At 36.2% G+C, this 18,430-nt stretch overlaps 1 pseudogene; it reads right to left on the bottom strand.

Moving 5' to 3' along the window:
* Window positions 1-17,232: 17,232 nt before the first annotated feature.
* Window positions 17,233-18,168, bottom strand: PRELID3BP10 (PRELI domain containing 3B pseudogene 10; annotated as a pseudogene).

The following is an 18,430-nucleotide window of genomic DNA, read 5'->3' as shown; positions in this document are numbered from 1 at the left end:
CATTTCTCCGATGATTGATAATGTTGAGCACCTTTTCATATGCCTGTTTGCCATTTGTATGTCTTCTTTTGAGGAATATCTATTTAAATCTTTTGTGTATTTTTAAATTGGATTATCAGACTTTTTTCCCTGCAGAGTTGTTTGAGCTCCTTATATATTCTTGTTATTAATCCCTTGTCAGATGGGTAGTATGCAAATATTTTCTCCCATTCTGTGGGTTGTCTCTTCACTTTGTTGATTGTTTTCTTTGCAGTGCAGGAGATTTTTAACTTGATGTGATCCCATTTGTCCATTTTTGCTTTGGTTGTCTGTGCTTGTGGGGTATTGCTCAAGAAATCTTTGTCCATTCCAATGTCCTTGAGATTTTCTCCAATGTTTTATTGTAGTAGTTTCATAGGTTGAGAACTTAGATGTAAGTCTTTAATCCCTTTTGTTTGATTTTTGTATATGGTGAGAGATAGGGGTCTACTTTCATTCTTCTCAATATGGATATCCAGTTTTCCCAGCATGATTTATTGAAGAGATTGTCTTTTCCCCCAGTTATGTTCTTGGCTCCTTTGTTAAAAATGAGTTCATCATAGACATATGCATTTGTTTTTAGGTTATCTATTCTATTCCATTGGTCTATGTGTCTGTTTTTATGCCAGCACCATGCTTCCTATACCTGTTTTGCTTCCTATATCTCTGTAGTATAATTTGAATCCAATAGTGTGATTTCTCCAGTTTTTTTTTTTTTCCTCAGGATGGCTTTGGCTATTCTGGGTCTTTTTGGTTCCATGTAAATTTTACAATTGTTTTTTTCTATCTCTGTGAAGAATGTCCTTGGCATTTAAATAGGGATTTTATTGAATCTGTAGATTGCTTTGGGCAATAAGGACATTTTAACAATATTGATTCTTCCAACCTATGACCATGGAATAGCTTTCTTTTTTTGGTGTCCTCTTCAATTTCTTTCATCAGTATTTTATAGTTTTCATTATAGAGATCTTTCATTCCTTTGTTTAATTCCTAGGTATTGCATTTTTATTTGTGGCTATTGTTTTTGATTTCTTTTTCATGTTGTTCACTGTTGGCCTATAGAAATGCAACTGATTTTTGTATGTTGATTTTGTATCCTGCACATTTACTGATTTTATTGATCAGTTCTAACCATTTTTTTTGGTTGAGTCTTTAGGTTTTTTCAAATATAAGATCATATCATCTGCAAACAAGGATAATTTGACTTCTTCCTTTCGAATTTGGATGCCTGCTATTTCTTTTTCTTGTCTTATTGCTCTAGCTAGGACTTCCAGTACTATGTTGAATAACAGTGGTTACAGTGGGCATTCTTGTGTTCCAGATCTTGGAGGAAAGGCTTTCAGTTTTTTCCCCATTCAGTATGATACTAGCTGTGGGTCTGTCATACATGGCTTTTATTATTTTGAGATATGTTCCTTCTATACACAGTTTTTTTGCAGGTTTTTTTTATTCTTAAAGGGATGTTAGATTTTATTATATGCCTTTTCAGCATCAATTGAAATGATTATAAAGTTGTCATTCTTCATTCTGTTGATATGATGTACCATATTGATTGGTTTGTATATGTTGAACCATTACTGCATTCCTGGGGAGAAATCCCACTTGGTCATGATGAATGCTCTATTTAATGCAATGTTGAATTAAGTTTGCTAGTATTTTGTTGAGGATTTTTACATCAATATTCATCAGATATACTGGCCAGTGGTTTTCTTTCTTTGATGTTGTCTTTGCCTGGTTTTGTTATCAGGGTAATACTGGCCTCACAGAAGGAGTTTGGAAGTATTCCCTCCTCTATTTTTTGAAATAATTTGAGTAGGGTTGATATTACCTCTTTAAATTTTTGGCAGAATTCAGCAGTGAAGTTATTAGGTCCAGGGTTGGGTTGGGTTTTTTTTTCTTTTTTTAACCGGGAGACTTTTTATTATGGCTTTGATCTTGTTACTTGGCTATTGGTCTGTTCAGGTTTTGGATTTCTTCATGGTTCAATCTTGGTAGGTTGATATGTCTCTATGAATTTATCCATTTACTCTAGATTTTCCAATTTACTGTCATATAGTTGCTCATAGTAGCCACGAATAATCCTTTGATTTTTTGTGGTATCAATTATAATTTCTCCTTTTTTACCTCTTTTTATTTTTTTTATTTTTTTAATTATTATTTATTTATTTTTTATTATTATACTTTAAGTTTTAGGGTACATGTGCACATTGTGCAGGTTAGTTACATATGTATACATGTGCCATTCTGGTGTGCTGCACCCACTAACTCGTCATCTAGCATTAGGTATATCTCCCAATGCTATCCCTCCCCCCTCCCCCTACCCCACAACAGTCCCCAGAGTGTGATGTTCACCTTCCTGTGTCCATGTGATCTCATTGTTCAATTCCCACCTATGAGTGAGAATATGCGGTGTTTGGTTTTTTGTTCTTGCGATAGTTTACTGAGAATGATGGTTTCCAGTTTCATCCATGTCCCTACAAAGGACATGAATTCATCATTTTTTATGGCTGCATAGTATTCCATGGTGTATATGTGCCACATTTTCTTAATCCAGTCTATCATTGATGGACATTTGGGTTGGTTCCAAGTCTTTGCTATTGTGAATAATGCCGCAATAAACATACGTGTGCATGTGTCTTTATAGCAGCATGATTTATAGTCCTTTGGGTATATACCCAGTAATGGGATTGCTGGGTCAAATGGTATTTCTAGTTCTAGATCCCTGAGGAATCGCCACACTGACTTCCACAATGGTTGAACTAGTTTACAGTCCCAACAACAGTGTAAAAGTGTTCCCATTTCTCCACATCCTCTCCAGCACCTGTTGTTTCCTGACTTTTTAATGATTGCCATTCTAACTGGTGTGAGATGGTATCTCATTGTGGTTTTGATTTGCATTTCTCTGACGGCCAGTGATGGTGAGCATTTTTTCATGTGTTTTTTGGCTGCATAAATGTCTTCTTTTGAGAAGTGTCTGTTCATGTCCTTTGCCCACTTTTTGATGGGGTTGTTTTTTTTTTCTTGTGAATTTGTTTGAGTTCATTGTAGATTCTGGATATTAGCCCTTTGTCAGATGAGTAGGTTGCAAAAATTTTCTCCCATTTTGTAGGTTGCCTGTTCACTCTGATGGTAGTTTCTTTTGCTGTGCAGAAGCTCTTTAGTTTAATTAGATCCCATTTGTCAATTTTGGCTTTTGTTGCCATTGCTTTTGGTGTTTTAGACATGAAGTCCTTGCTCATGCCTATGTCCTGAATGGTAATGCCTAGGTTTTCTTCTAGGGTTTTTATGGTTTTAGGTCTAACGTTTAAGTCTTTAATCCATCTTGAATTGATTTTTGTATAAGGTGTAAGGAAGGGATCCATTTTTTTACCTCTTTTTAAAAGTTTATTTGAGTCTTCTTTTTTTTTTTGAGATGGAGTTTCACTCTGTCACCCAGGCTAGAGTGCAGTGGTGTGATCTCAGCCCACTGCAGGCTCTGCCTCCTGGGTTCACGCCATTCTCCTGCCTCAGCCTCCCAAGTAGCTGGGACTACAGGTGCCCGCCACCACGTCCGGCTAATTTTTGTATTTTTAGTAGAGACCGGTTTTCACCATGTTAGCCAATATTGTCTTGATCTCCTGACCTCGTGATCTGCCCGCCTCAGTGTTCCAAAGTGCTGGGATTATAGGCATGAGCCACCATGCCTGGCCGAGTCTTCTCTATTTTTCTTAGCATGCCTAAAGGTTTGTAATTTTCTTTTTTTTTTCAAAAAGCCAACTTTTCATTGGTTTCGGTCAATATCTTCTACATTGTTTTTTCATTTCATTTTCATGTATTTCTGCTCTGATCTTTATTATTTCTTTTCTTCTATTAACTGTGGGTTTGGTTTGCACTTGCTTTTCTAATTCCTTAAAGTGCATCATTAGGTTGTTTATTTGAAGTTTTTCTTCTTTTTTGATGTAGGCACTTATAGATGTAAATTTCTCTCTTAATATTGCTTTTGCTGTATCCCATAGGCTTTGGTATTTTGTGTCTCCATTGTCATTTGTTTCAAGGAAGTTTTAAATTTTCTTCTTAATTTCTTCATTGACCCACTGTTCATTCAGGAGTATATTGTTTAATTTCTGCGTGTTTGTATAATTTCCAAAATTCTTCTCGTGTGGCAAGTTATTGAGCTGTGTCATGGTTGGTTGTAAGAGTGTTTGCTTTATAATATTCACTAAGCTATATATTTGTTATGTGCTATTTTCTGTGTCTGTTTTATTTTATAATATAATGGTAAAGGAAATTCCATGTGGCTATGCCTTCTAAAGTCTAAGCCATCCTATCAAACTTCACCAGGAGCCTCTGATGAAGGACAGGCAAGCCCCAAATTTGAGGCTTAGCAAGTGAGGTTTCTTGGCTTTACCCAGGAAAGAATTTGAGGGTTAAGCAGTGGTGGTAAACAGCAACTTTTTTTGAAGTGGCAGTGTATAGCAGCAACAGAGGTACTGCTCCTTATGGAGCAGAGCTACCTCATAAGCAGTAGATGCCCAGAGTAGCAGCTCAGAGGCAGTTCTGCACTCATATTTATACCCCCTTTTAATTATATGCAAATTAAGAGACATTTTATGCAATTTCTAGGATGAGGGTGGTAACTTCCAGGTTGCTGGGCCCTTACCATGGAAAGGGGCAGTAACTTCTGGGTGTTGCCATGGCAATGGGAAACTGACATGGCATACTGATAGGTGTATCTTACGGGGAGGTGCTTCCACCCTGGGTCTGTTTTAGCTAATCCTCAGCTTGGTCCAGTGTCTGAGCCCCACCTCCAGAGTCTAGTCCTGTCTCTTACCTCATCTCAACCTCAAAGTGTTACTTTTTCCTCAGATTCCATTCTTTGTTTATTTTTCAAGATCTCAGCTCCGGCATAAGCCAGGCCTAATACAACCTGGTTTGCTAGGGGACAAGTCCTGATTTTCCTGGAGTGTTCCCTTTCTTTCTTAAAAGTGTCTCTGTTTGGGCAATGAAGTGTATAGTATAGCCACCCTCCTAATAAATAATGCTACCTCCTTTCTGTCCGGATTCAGACTTATTGAGAAATAGCCCAGGAACCCAAATGATAGAAAGCAAAATATTAGCTTCATAACTGATATAGCTGGTGGAGAATGAAGCTCTAGGTCTTGTTAACTTCTTGCCTCAAAATTAGGCAGATGTACCGCCTAGACACAAGCAGCACTGAGCACCATACCACCACTGCCCTCCACCCCGTCTGCAGTGGGGCCACCTCATGGAACAGCAGACGAATGAGTAATGGAGGGTAGGGGGAAAAAAGGCCAATAGTGTTGCTCTGCAGTGCTTCCTCTGCATGGAAACATGAATCTGCAGAGAAGAAGTTTCCTCTGCAACTGTCACACATTTAAAATGAGGGCAGTTTTATGTACCGTTTTCTACAGCTCTGTTCCATGGGTCGCTTGGGTGCATTGAGCAAGTGCAACAGGTTGGTTTAACTTGACTGGGATTTTGTTAGGTGACTGCTAAGGTCTAATATCAACCAACCATAACCTATAAATTTATTTGGGTCAAAACAATCAACAGTATAAAATATAAACCAAGGGGGGAAATTCAAACATTGACCTTTTTTCAAATTGATAGTGGTATTGTGGTTATGTTAAAAAGAGATACTATCTTTAGAGATGTATAAGGAAATAGTTATGAATGAAATGGTAGCATGTCTGGGATTGTCTTTGAAATAATCTAGTGGGTGGCCACACATGGTGGCTCATGTCTATAATATCAGCACATTGTGAGGCTGAGGTGGGGGGATCACTTGAACCCAGGAGTTTGAAACCAGCCTGGGCAACATCGTGAGACCCCCATCTCTACAAAAACAAAAATCTAGTGGGAATGGGACTAGGTAAAACAAGATGGTCCATGAGTTAATAACTGTTGACACACCTTTTATTTTTTTAAAAGCAGTCACCCATGTTGTCACATTGCGGAAGCATAATGACAGTGAAGACTAAGAAATACCCTTGGATTGAGTTGCTAGGAAGTCACTAGTGACCCTTAAGAGAGAAGTTTTGTAGATTTGTGAAGAATCAAGAGAATGGAAGTGTAAGCTATATTTCAAGTCTTGAAGGAGTGAGAAATTAGGAAGTTGAAGAGCAAAGGACATAGAACTGCTGACAATAGAAAAAAATAATGTGCACTGTCTTTCTTCTTTATTTCACAAATGTACACAAAACAAATTTAGAATTATTTTAATAGTAGGATCAAATTATACATTACTACAGAGTGAAATATACAATTAGTAAAACAAAGAAATATTTAAATACTAAAAGTACTTACTTCAGAGTTTACTAGGGTTTTAACAATCATTGCTCATTTTTTTAACTTTTCACTTAAAAATAATTTCACACTTACAAAAAGTTGTAAAAACAGTACAAAGGATATCTGCAAGCCCTTTGCCCAGATTCCCAAAAGCTTATACCTTACCTAATGATAGTAAAATTATTAGAATCAAGAAATTAACATTGATACAGTACTATTAATAATGCATATCAAACTTCAGCAACCGTTCCATGAATTTCCTTTCTGGTCCAAGACCTAACCCAGGATTTCGTGATGGATTTAGTTATCATGTATCCTTGGGTCTTTTAATCTGTGCTAGTTCCTTGGTCTTTTTTGTCTTCCATCAACTTTGACACTTTTTGAAAAGCATTGACTGACCAGTTATTTCGAAGGATGTCACTCAGTTTGAATTTTTCTGATGTTTCTTCATGATTCAAATTAGGTTATGCACCCTTTTGTCAAGAAGATCATAAAATTGATATTCAGTGCATTATATTGAGAAGCACACGGAATTAACTTATTCCATTACTGGTGATAACTTTTAATCACTTAAGAAGGTATCTACCAGGCTTTTCCAAAAAGTTATTCTTTTTCCATGGTGATTAATATACATCTTATGGAAAGATACTTTGTGACTCAGTAAACTATTCTGTATCTCATCAAACTTTCACTCAGAAATTTAAGAACTTATCAATTATTCTTGTCTGAAGAAAAATGATTACTGTGATATTTGCCAAATTGATTTTCCATTTTCATCATTCCTTTATCCAACATCTATAAGTTGGAAGCCTACTGTGAGAAGATTTTATTTGTTTATTTATATCATTGTGGGCCCTTTGTTTCTTATTTTAGTCTGTGGGTCGTAATCCATTACTATAATTTTTTCTTATTGTTACTTAAATTTCCTCAAATCTGACCATTGAGAGCCCCTCTAAGTTGGTTGCTGTGTCCTTTTGACATATTTTAAGTTGTTCCCATTTGAAATAAAGACACGCTAAAAATATTGGCTTAGATGCTGAGAAGATACAAATCCAGAGACTTTTCTGGAGGCTCATCCCTTCTGCTTTTTCACAAGCTTGGAAAGAAGCTGATTCTTCAGAAGAGTAGGCTATCCAGAGGCTGACCTCAGGACAGTTCCCCTTTCTAAGAAGGTCATCTCCTTTCCATGAAGTTCCCATTGTTTTACAGGTATCTAGAGCTTTCCTGGCCCCTTTCCATGCTTTGATAACTATGTAAAGTGGCACAGGTGTGCGGTCCTTCCTCCAATGTGCTTTCCATGGTATGCCTGGATATTCTTGACTTGAGATTGCCTCACTGCAGGATAGCAAGAGGATGGAGCTCATAACCTCTGATGTTTCTTTGACTGCTTTTTCCTAAAAATCTTATTTTATATTTGTATCGTGTGGTGTCCATGTCGTGTTTGCACAACAGATCACAGAATGCAACCCTATCATTTAGACTATACTCATGTAATAATTTTAAAGACTATTATAATTTTCCCCATGATGAAATTAATTATTGTGAGTACCACATAGACTAATACATACTTACTCTATGTAAGTTTTAACAAAATTATATGTGTCATTTTATACTGATTTACAGTATTTCTATATTTTAATGGTGTAAAAATAAACTACTTAAACATGATATTAGGAATGATTAGAAAATGGATGAAAGTGACAGTAAGTTAACAATTAATCTAACTATAATGTACAATGAAAAATTAGCAAGTCCAAATTAAGTTTTTGGGGCATTTTAAATTAGATTAGTTATGCATTGCTTAATGACAGAGATATCCTCTTCTGAGAAATGCATCACTAGAAGATTTTGTCATAGTGCAAACATCGTAGTGTGTACCTACACAAACCTAGGTGGTATAGCCTACTACACACCCAGGCTATATAGCTTATTGTTCCTAGGCTACAAACCTGTACAGCGTATTAGTGTATCGAATACTGTAGGACACTGGAACACAATGTAAGTATTTATGTATTCATCCATATCTAAACATAGAAAAGACATAGTAAAAATACAGTATAAAAGATAAAGAAATGGTACACCTGCCTAAGGCACTTGCCATGAACAGAACTTACAGAACTCAAAGTTACTCTGGGTGTCAGTGAGTGAGTGGTGGGTGAATGTGAAGGCCTAGGACATTGCTGTACACTGCTGTGGACTTTATAAACACTGTATGCTTAGGCTACACTACATTTATAAAAAGTATTTTTCTTTATTCAATAATAAGTTAACCTTAACTTGTTGTAATGTTTTTTACTTCATATATTTAAAATTTTTTCTAACTTTTTGACTTTTGTAATAACACTTAGGTTAAAACACAAACACATTATATAGCTGTACAGAAGTATTTTCTTTATAGCCTTATTCTGTAAACTTTTTTCTAGTTTTAAAAATTTTAGGGGTCCAGTGTGGCAGTTTGCATTGTAATCCCAGTACTTTGGGAGACCAAGGTGGGAGGATTGCTTGAGCCTGGGAGTTTGAGGCTCAGTGAGCTATGCTGGTACCATTGCACTCCAACCTGGACAAAAACATACTCTAGCCTAGGCCTACACAGGATCAGGATTGTCAGTATGACTGTCTTCCACCTCCACACCTTGCCCCACTAGAAGGTCTTCAGGGGCAATAATACACATGGAGCTACCATCTCCTATGATAGCAATGCCTTCTTCTGGAATACACCTGAAGGATCTGCCTGAGGTTGTTTTACAGTTAACTTTTTAAAAACATATGTAGACATATTACACTCTAAAATGATGATAAGTGTTGTCTAATAAATACATAACCCAGTAACATATTTATTATCGTTATCAAGTGTTATATACTATGCACAATTGCATGTGCTATACTTTTATAGACTGGCAGTGTGGCCCATTGCTGACTGAAACATCATCATGTGGTGCATGACTGTAATTTCAGATATGGGCTATAAAGAAGCAAATATCAGTACAAATGTACAAGTTTTTATGACAAAATATTTTGTTCAGCTTGTTTTTAATTTTTTAAGAATTAAGAATGATCATATTTTGTGAGGTTTTGCTTTAATTTTCCGAGTGACTTCTAGACCCTAATGGATATGCTGTGTTATTGCAGGGGCGTTCTGTAAGGGTGGAGCTTGAGACTCTTGGCATTTAAAAGGGGGCAGGGATTTAAGGTGAAAGGACGCAAAGAGATACGCTAAAAAAGAAAGAAGGAAAAAAGGAAAGACAATTCAAGGAGGAAAATTTAATATCTATTCAGAGTCAAAATCATATTTGGCTCTGATTTGGCGGCTGAAAATAGAGAAGCTCTATTTTTGATTAAATTATGTAGTATATGCAGTGGGAGGGGCTGGTGGAGTAAAGAGTTCATGCTCTGAAATCAGACCAACCTGGGTTTAGTTCCAGTGCCACCACTCATGAGCTGTGTGACATTAGACAAGCTCCTGAACCTTCCTGAGGCTTATATAAAATGACAATGTTTGTAGTAAAGAACTTAGCACAGTGAGTAGACCATAATAAACCCTCTGTTAAGTGTGAGCTATTACTATTATCTGAGACCAAACAATGGGGCAGTCATTTAATTATACATTTAATATCAGTCTGAGACTATTAGGATGAAAGTGATGCCAATGAAAATGATCAATAATTTCGTGGTTTTACAGAAACATGGAACAGCCTCCATTACGTACATAAATGAATCTGAGATTTTAAAAGCTCCCTGCCTGGGGCATTCTCAAGGATCCTGAATCTCATATATCATAATTAACTCCATTGTAACCACTGAGCTGAAGCTGTGGATTCATTAGCGCCTGAAAGCTGACATTTAAAAACCGTGGATGGAGCTAATCTGAGGGTGGAAGAACATTGTATTGAGGTAGCACATGACTATTGAGAAAAAGGTGTTACCTTTTCTCACACAAAGTTTGACCACTTGAAGTTCAAATGAATGTGGGTTGATTGAAAATGCCTGGTGGTGTCATTTAGCTGTTTCTTAAAAAGGTTTTTGAAGACTTTAAGCTGTAACATTTGAGCCTGTGGAACTAGACAGATGCTTTCAGGGACTCGGTGTGAGTAATGTTCTCCTATTATAGCCTGGGTCATAATTCATCAAATATTCCTGTAGTGGCCTGGAAGAGGCAATATATCTCTTGAGTATGCACAGGGGATGTATTCTAATGCTGGAAGATCTGGTTCAGTAACCAAAAACATATTTAGAGCTAAAAATGAAAATTCCAGTGGGAAACCCCATGATTTTAATAAATGTTTAGACTGGGCGCAGTGGCTCATGCCTGTAATCTTAGGCTTTGGGAAGCTGAGGTGAGAAGATTGCTTGAGGCCAGGAGTTCAAGACATGCCTGGGCAACACAGAAAGACCCTATATCTACAAAAAATAAGAAATTATCTGGGCATGTGGTGCATGCCTGTAGACCCAGCTACTTAGGAGGCTGAGGCGGGAGGATCACTTGAGCCCAGGAGGTTGAGGCTCCAGTGAGCTATGATTGCACAACTGCACTCCAGCCTGGGTGACAAAGCAAGACCCTGTCTCTAAAATAAATACATAAACAAATAAATTTCTAGAGGATCTGCTTCAAGTTAGCTAACCATCAGCTTCCAAGATGTTGATGCCATTTGTGCTCAGAACAGAACAAAGCTCTTGTGGGAACAGAATTATTACTAATTTTAATTTTTTAGTATAACCATTAGCATCTTTGCTCCAATCATAGAGCAGCTGAGTCCTGGTGATACGGGTTGATTTTGTGCTGTTGCAGATGACACTGTCACACTTGTTTTAGTGTATTTTTCACATTTTTCCATGAGTTGCCTGAAGTCATTCATTTAGTGGGTTATTGCCTTGGATAGTGTTTAACTGCTCTCAAGACTTCTGGAAATATTTGAAGCATGGGACAGGTGTGGCCAGCCTAGCCACCTTCTTATTCGTATCCCCACAAATGATCAGACTAGCAGTTCAATTAAGAGAAAATGCTTCCTAGCAAACCACCAGCTTGTTTGCTGAATGAGGTACTGTGGCATGGAAAACAAGGCCAGCCCTTGCAGTATTTTAGTTGAATTCACCTGCCTAGTATTAAATAAAATCTCCACTTCTCATCATTGGAAAGTAGAGAGAAGAGAGCAAAAGCAGAAAGATGTCAAAAACACACCAATGAGCAAGCCATATTCTCTAACTTCTGACCCAAGGACCATCACTTTGCTAACAAGAATTTTCAGTGGATTGCACCAATTCTTCCTTCTCATTCTGTTTTCTTGTTTTTTCTTTCAACTTTTATTTTAGGTTCAGTAGGTACGTGTGCAGGTTTCTTACAAGGGTAAATTGCATGTTCCTGGAGTTTGGTGTACAAATGATCCCATCAGCCAGGTAGGGAGCATAGTACTGGATAATTTTTCAACCTTTACCCCCTCTCACTCTCTCATCCTCCCCGCTCTAGTAGTCTCAGGTTTCCATTGTTCTCATGTTTATGTCCTAGTGTACTCAATATTAGCTCATACTTATGAGTGAGAACATGTGATATTTAATTTTCTGTTCCTGCCTTAGTTCGCTTATGATAATGGCCTCCACCTTCATCTATGCTATTGCAAAGGACACAATTTCATTCTTTTTTATGGCTGCATAGTATTCCATAGTGGGTATGTACCACATTTTCTTTAACCAGTCCACCATTGATGAGCATCTAGGTTGATTCTATGTCTTTGCTATTGCGAATAGTGCTGTAATGAACATTCGTGTGTGTGTGTCTTTTTGGTAGAATGATTTATTTTCCTCTGGATAAGATTGCAGGGTCAAATGCTAGTTCTAAGTTCTTTGAGAAATCTCCAAACTGCTTTCCACAGAGGCTGAACTAATTTACATAACAACCAATAGTGTATAAGTGTTCCCTTTTCTCTACAACCTCACCAGGGCGTGTTATTTTTAGACTTTTTAGTAATAGCCATTCTAACTGGCATAAGACAGTATTTCATTGTGATTTTGATTTGCATTTTTCTAATGATTGCTGATGTTGAGTGTTTTTTCATGTATTTGTTGGCCACATGAATGTCTTCTTTTGAGAAGTGTCTGTTCATGTCCTTTTTAAATGAGATTATTTGTTTTTTGATCTTTGAATTTTTAAGTTCCTTATAGATTTTGGATATTAGACCTTTGTCAGATGCATAGTTTGTGAATATTTTCTCCCATTCTGTACATTGTCTGTTTACTCTATTGATAATTTCTTTTGCTGTGCAGAAGCTCTTTAATTTAATTAGTTTTTACTTGTCAATTTTTGGTTTTGTTGCAAATGCTTTTGTGGACTTAGACATAAATTATTTCCCAAGGCCCATGTCTGGAATGGTATTTTCTAGTTTTTCTTCTAGGATTTTAATAGTTTTACATTTTAAATTTAAGTTTTTAATCTATCTTGAGTTAATTTTTGTATATGGTGAGAGGTAGGGGTCCAGATTCAATCTTCTGCATATGCCTACCAAGTTATCCCTGAACAATTTGTTGAATAAATAACATAAGTCAATTTACCATTGCTTTTTATTGTCAATTTTGTTGAAGATCAGGTGGTTATAGGTGTGGCTTTACATCTGGGTTTTCTATTCTGTTCCATTGGTCTATGTGTCTGTCTTTGTACAGTACCGTGCTGTTTTGGTTACCGTAGCCTTATAGTATAGTTTGAAATCATGTAGTAAGATGCTGCCAGCTTTGTTCTTTTTGCTTATAATTGCTTTGGCTATTTGGACTCTTTTATGGTTCCATATGAATTTTAGCATCATTTTTTTCTAATTCTGTGAAAAATGACATTGGGGTAAATAGGAATAACATTGAATTTGTAAGTAGCCTTGAGTTTATGGCCATTTTAACAATATCGATTCCTCCAATCCATGAGCATGTAATGTTTTTTCATTTGTTTGTGTTATCTCTGATTTATTTCAACAGCATTTTGTAATTCTCATTGTAGAGATATTTTACCTCCTTGGATAGCTGTATTCCTAAGTTTTTTTAAAAAATTGTTTTTCTGGTTATTATATATGGGATTACCTTCTAGATTTGGCTCTCAGCTTGAACGTTATTGGTGTATAGAAATGTTACTGAGTTTTGTACATTGATTTTGTAACCTGAACCTTTACTGAAGTCATTTATCAGTTCTAGGAGTCTTTTGGTAGATTTTGAGGTTTTCTAGGTATAGTATTATATTGTCAGCAAAGAGACATAATTTGATTTCTTCTTCTCCTATCTGGGTGCTTTTTATTTCTTTGTTTTGCCTAATTGCTCTGGCTAGAACTTTCAGTACTATCTTGAATAGGAGTAGTAAGAATAGGCATCCTTGTCTTGTTCCAGTTCTCAAGTGGAGTGCTTCCAGTTTTTGCCCATTCAGTATGATGTTGGCTGTGGGTTTGCCATAGATGGCTCTTATTATTTTGAAGTGTGTTTCTTTGATGCCTAGTTTGTTGAGGGTTTTTAACATGAAGGGGTGTTGAATTTTATTGAAAGTTTTTTCTGTGTGTATTGATATGAGCATATGATTTTTGTTTTTAATTTTCTTCACATGGTGAATCACATTGATTGATTTGTGTATGTTGATCTAACCTTACATCCTAGGGATAAAGTGTACTTGATCATGATGAATTAACTTGTTGATATGCTGCTGGATTCAGTTTGCTGGCATTTTGTTGGGCCAGGTTTTGGTATCAGAATGATGCTGGCCTTGTAGAATGAGTTAGGGAGAAGCCCCCCTTCCCTGATTTCTTGGAATAATTTTAATAGGATTTGTACTAGCTCTTTGTTGTATGTCTGGTAGAATTCAGCTGTGAATCTGTTTGGTCCAGGACTTTTTTAGCTCTTAGGTTTTTTAAATTACTGATTCCATTTTGGAACTTGTTATTGGTCTGTTCAGGGTTTCAGTTTCTTCCTGGTTTATTCTTGGGAGGTTGTGTGTTTCCAGGAATTTATCCATTTCTTCTAGGTTTTCTAGTTTATGTACACAGAGATGTTAGTAATGGTCTCTGAGGATTTTTTTTTTTGGTGGGGTCAGTTGTAATGTCATCTTTGTCATTTCTGATTGTGCTTATATGGATTTTATCTCATTCTTTCTTTGTTAACCTAGCTAGTGGTATATCATTCTTATTTATTCTTTGAGAAAACCAAACTTTTGGTTTCATTGATCTTTTTAATAGATTTTTGAGTCTCAATTTCATTCAATTCTACTCTGATTTTGGTTATTTCTTTTCTTCTGCTAGCTTTGGGTTTAGTTTGCTCTTGTTTTTCTGGTTCCTCTAGATATGATGTTAGGTTGTTAATTTGAGATCTTTCTAACTACTTGATGTAGGCATTTAGTACTATAAACTTTCCTTTTAACACTGCTTTAATGGTTTTCCAAAGACTTTGGTGTATTGTATCACTGTTTTCATTAATTTCAAAAAGTTTTTGATTTGTCTTAATTTTGTTTGTTACCCAAAAGCTATTCAGGATCAAATTGTTTAATTTCTGTGTAATTGTATTGTTTTGAGAGATGTTGACATTGATTTCTATTTTTTTTGCACTGTGGTTTAAGAGGGTGGTTAGTATAATTTCAGTTTTTTAAAATTTATTGAGACTTGCTTTACAGCCGAGCATGTGGTTGATCTTGAGTATGTGCCATGGGCAGATAAGAAAAATGTAATTCTGTTGTTGTTTGATGGAGTATTTGGTAGATGTCTATTAAGTCCAATTAGTCAAGTGTTGAGTTTAAGTCCAGAATATCTTTGTTAGTTTTCTGCCTTGATGATGTGTCTAATGCTGTCAGTGGGGCTGTTGAAGTCTCCCACTATTATCGTGTGGCTAAGTCTTTTTTTAAGTCTCTAAGAACTTGTCTTATGAATCTGGGTGCTCCAGTGTTGGGTGCATGTATATTTAGGATAGTTGAGTCTTTGTGTAGGACCCTTTATCATTATATAATGTCCTTCTTTGTCCTTTTTGATCATTGCTGGTTTAAGGTCTTTTTGATCTGATAGAAGAATAGCAACCCCTGCTCTTTTTTTGTTTTCTATTTGCATAATAGATCTTTCTCCATCCCTTTGCTTTGAGCCTATGGGTGTTATGTGTGAGATGGGTCTCTTGAAGACAGCAGACAGTTGGATCTTCCTTCCTTATCCAACTTGCTACTCTACATCTTTTAAATGGGGCATTTAGCCTGTTTACATTCAAGGTTACTACTGATATATGAGGATTTTATCCTATCATTATGTTGTTGGCTGATAGTTACATAAACTTGATTGTGTAGTTGCTTGCTAGTGTCAGTGGGCTATGTACTTAAGTGTGTTTTTCTTTTTCACTTAAAAGACAGTTTTTATTAACAAAAGTTTTTCAGAATCTACATTTCAACTTTAGTATTAAATAGTCCAAGGGTTTCATTTATGAACACTTATTCCAGTTTAGTCCTCTTAAATACATTTGCTGGCTGTGTATTTATGTTTAACAGGTAAAAGCTATCAATTACCAGCTATTTCAAAAAAGGTAACTAACTACACTGGAAAATGAAAATGTATAGAATTTTATCATTAGATCAGAGTTTAAACAAATCAAAGGATATGGATTTGTTTAAAAATCTCTTATCATTAGGGCCTTACACCTTTTTCAGAACAACTGTAATTTGCAGAAATTATACAAGGCAGATTTTCATCAAATATCAATTATTTAGTGATGTTTTATTTAGCTGAAATGTTATTTCACTTGTAAAAACTATCTCTGGTTACAAAAAAGAATCAGAAACCTTATTAAATTTAACCTGCTTTTACAAATGTCCTAAGAATTCTTAAGCTAAACAATTTTTATGTAGAAAAATGATAATTTAAAAATAGTTTGTTATACTATTTCTGTGGTGTACATACATATATTAACTGGTCTCTTTGATAGGAAACATGACTAGAAGTTTATCACATTAAGCACAGTAAAATAAAGGCAAGAGCTAATCATCTTCTAGCGAAAATACTCTCTATGCAACAATTGCAAATGTCAAAGCTATTATTTAGTGGTTGATAATTTCCTGCTACAAAATGTAAACAAAGTACGTTTACTGAATTGTTTTTCAATTTGAAGTTGCCCTCTGACATCTCAAATAAGGAATCCCCATAAATAAAGCTGCAGTGCAATCCACTTAGTAGTTAGTTTCAGGCCAAGCCTCCCCCCCACCATTATCCTCGTTCTTCCCCACTGCCCCCAAATCCTGCAGTGGCCCTGTATTATTAAAAACATTAAGTACCTGGGGTTTATGCTTCAGAGCAAGACATCAGCTGAGTAATTTCAAATGATATACAGCTCCTTCATGTAAAAAAGATGTTTTGTGATCACAATTACTTCAAAAAGTAATTATATTAAAATAATCTGACATATCATACCTTAGCAATTACAAAACCGTGATTTTGACACATGAAAATTTTTAAGTTAGGCAAATGTGAAATGCTAAAAGAAGTGAATAGCTGTTCTTCTGTTTAAGTTAGGGCGCTGCAAAACCCAGGTAATGACTTTATTTTTTTCAGTAAACATAACCAGCCCATGGTACAGCATACAAAATCACAAAGTACAAATCCAAGGAAGTTAATACCTTTACTAAGATACAAAACTTTGGCAAATCAATACAGTATTCTTTAATGAAACCATACTTTTGTTGGAGTCATGTTACTTTAGTGATAATTTTCACTCCAAAAATATTTAAGTACCAAATCAAAACACTGGTTTTGAATGGTGGTTTATAGCACAGCAAGTTATTTTACACAAAATATATTTTAAAACTACACAATTTCTCCTTTTAAGTGAGTTCCCTTGTGCAAGCTGTTGAAGTGTACAGCAGCAGGGCAATGGGCATCTATAGGAGGTGGCTCTGCTCTGTTCTGGGGTTGGTCCAAAGTCAGGTGGAGTTCCCATATATGAAAAGCTTGAAAATTCTACCTTAAGGAGATTCAACATTAATACCAATTTCCAAGGAGTTCTTGTTGAATTTTCACAGAAAGACTGGAACCCTCAACATCAGATAGTAATTTCAAACAACATTAAGTTCAGATGATCCCTTTTATTTAGAGGCCCTGCATCCACTTTGATCAAAAATCACATAGCCTTATGCCAGTTTATTTAAAAAACTACCTAAAATATAGTTGTATTTTTTAAATAACAAATAAATATGTAGTCAGCTTGGAGAGACCTGGGCTACCCAACGTTGTCTATCAACTTTTATGATCACTTGTCTGCAAAAGCTGCTGCTGCCATTGGAGTCCTTATGCTTCCTCTTGCTGAGGCTGTCAGTTCTTCAATCTCAGCATTTAATTTATGTATTACCCATTCTATTGCTTCTCAGCCTTTACTAGTGTTTGAGGATATCATACTTGCCATCAGTTCTTCAAAGTAACTGCTGAGGCTAACTCCTTTCATGGTGATTATGGCTTCTTGAGTCAAAATAGTTTTTTCTGGGTCCCGAGGACGTGGTTTGTATATAAGTCTCTCATCTGCTGAAACCATATCTGTAAATGAAATATTAGTAGATTTAAGTTTCATTGTTTTCTCTACAGGATCAACTACAGAATGTTCTTGCACATATGTTTTCATTCTTGCTGCACCAATAAGAGACTTCACAATGGAAGGTAGTCCCCACTCTGTGCTGAGAAGTCTGTGGCTGTGCAACTTTCCAGAGGGATCTACATGTCTGTCCAACACATCAACTCCAACCACAGTTGGTTCATAGGGTTTGGGTATTTCTGCATTGCAGCTGTTGTAACAGTTTCCCATGAGTGGTCAAAGACATGCTCTGAAGTCCAGATCTTCACGGTGCCGGCAGCCTGAGCGATGTCCGGGTGGTGCTAGGGAGAACGAGGCACAGAGACTACACCGGCCCCCGTCCCCGACATCTGCAAGTGTGTATGTGTGTGTGTGTGTGTGTTTTTTTGATGGCAGAAATCTTTCTTTTGTTGCTATATTTAGCACTTCCTTAAGGACCTTATGTAAGGCAGGCCTAGTGGTAAAACATTTCCTTACCATTTGCTTGTTTGAAAAGGATTTTATTTCTCCCTTGTTTATAAAGCTTAGTTTGGGGGGATATGAAATTCTTGGTTGGAAGTTCTTCTCTTTAAGGACACTGAAAATA

This window comes from Homo sapiens, chromosome 7, assembly GCF_000001405.40.
Source record: "Homo sapiens chromosome 7, GRCh38.p14 Primary Assembly".
NCBI lineage: Eukaryota > Metazoa > Chordata > Mammalia > Primates > Hominidae > Homo > Homo sapiens.
This window is presented reverse-complemented; position numbering and strand designations above follow the sequence as displayed.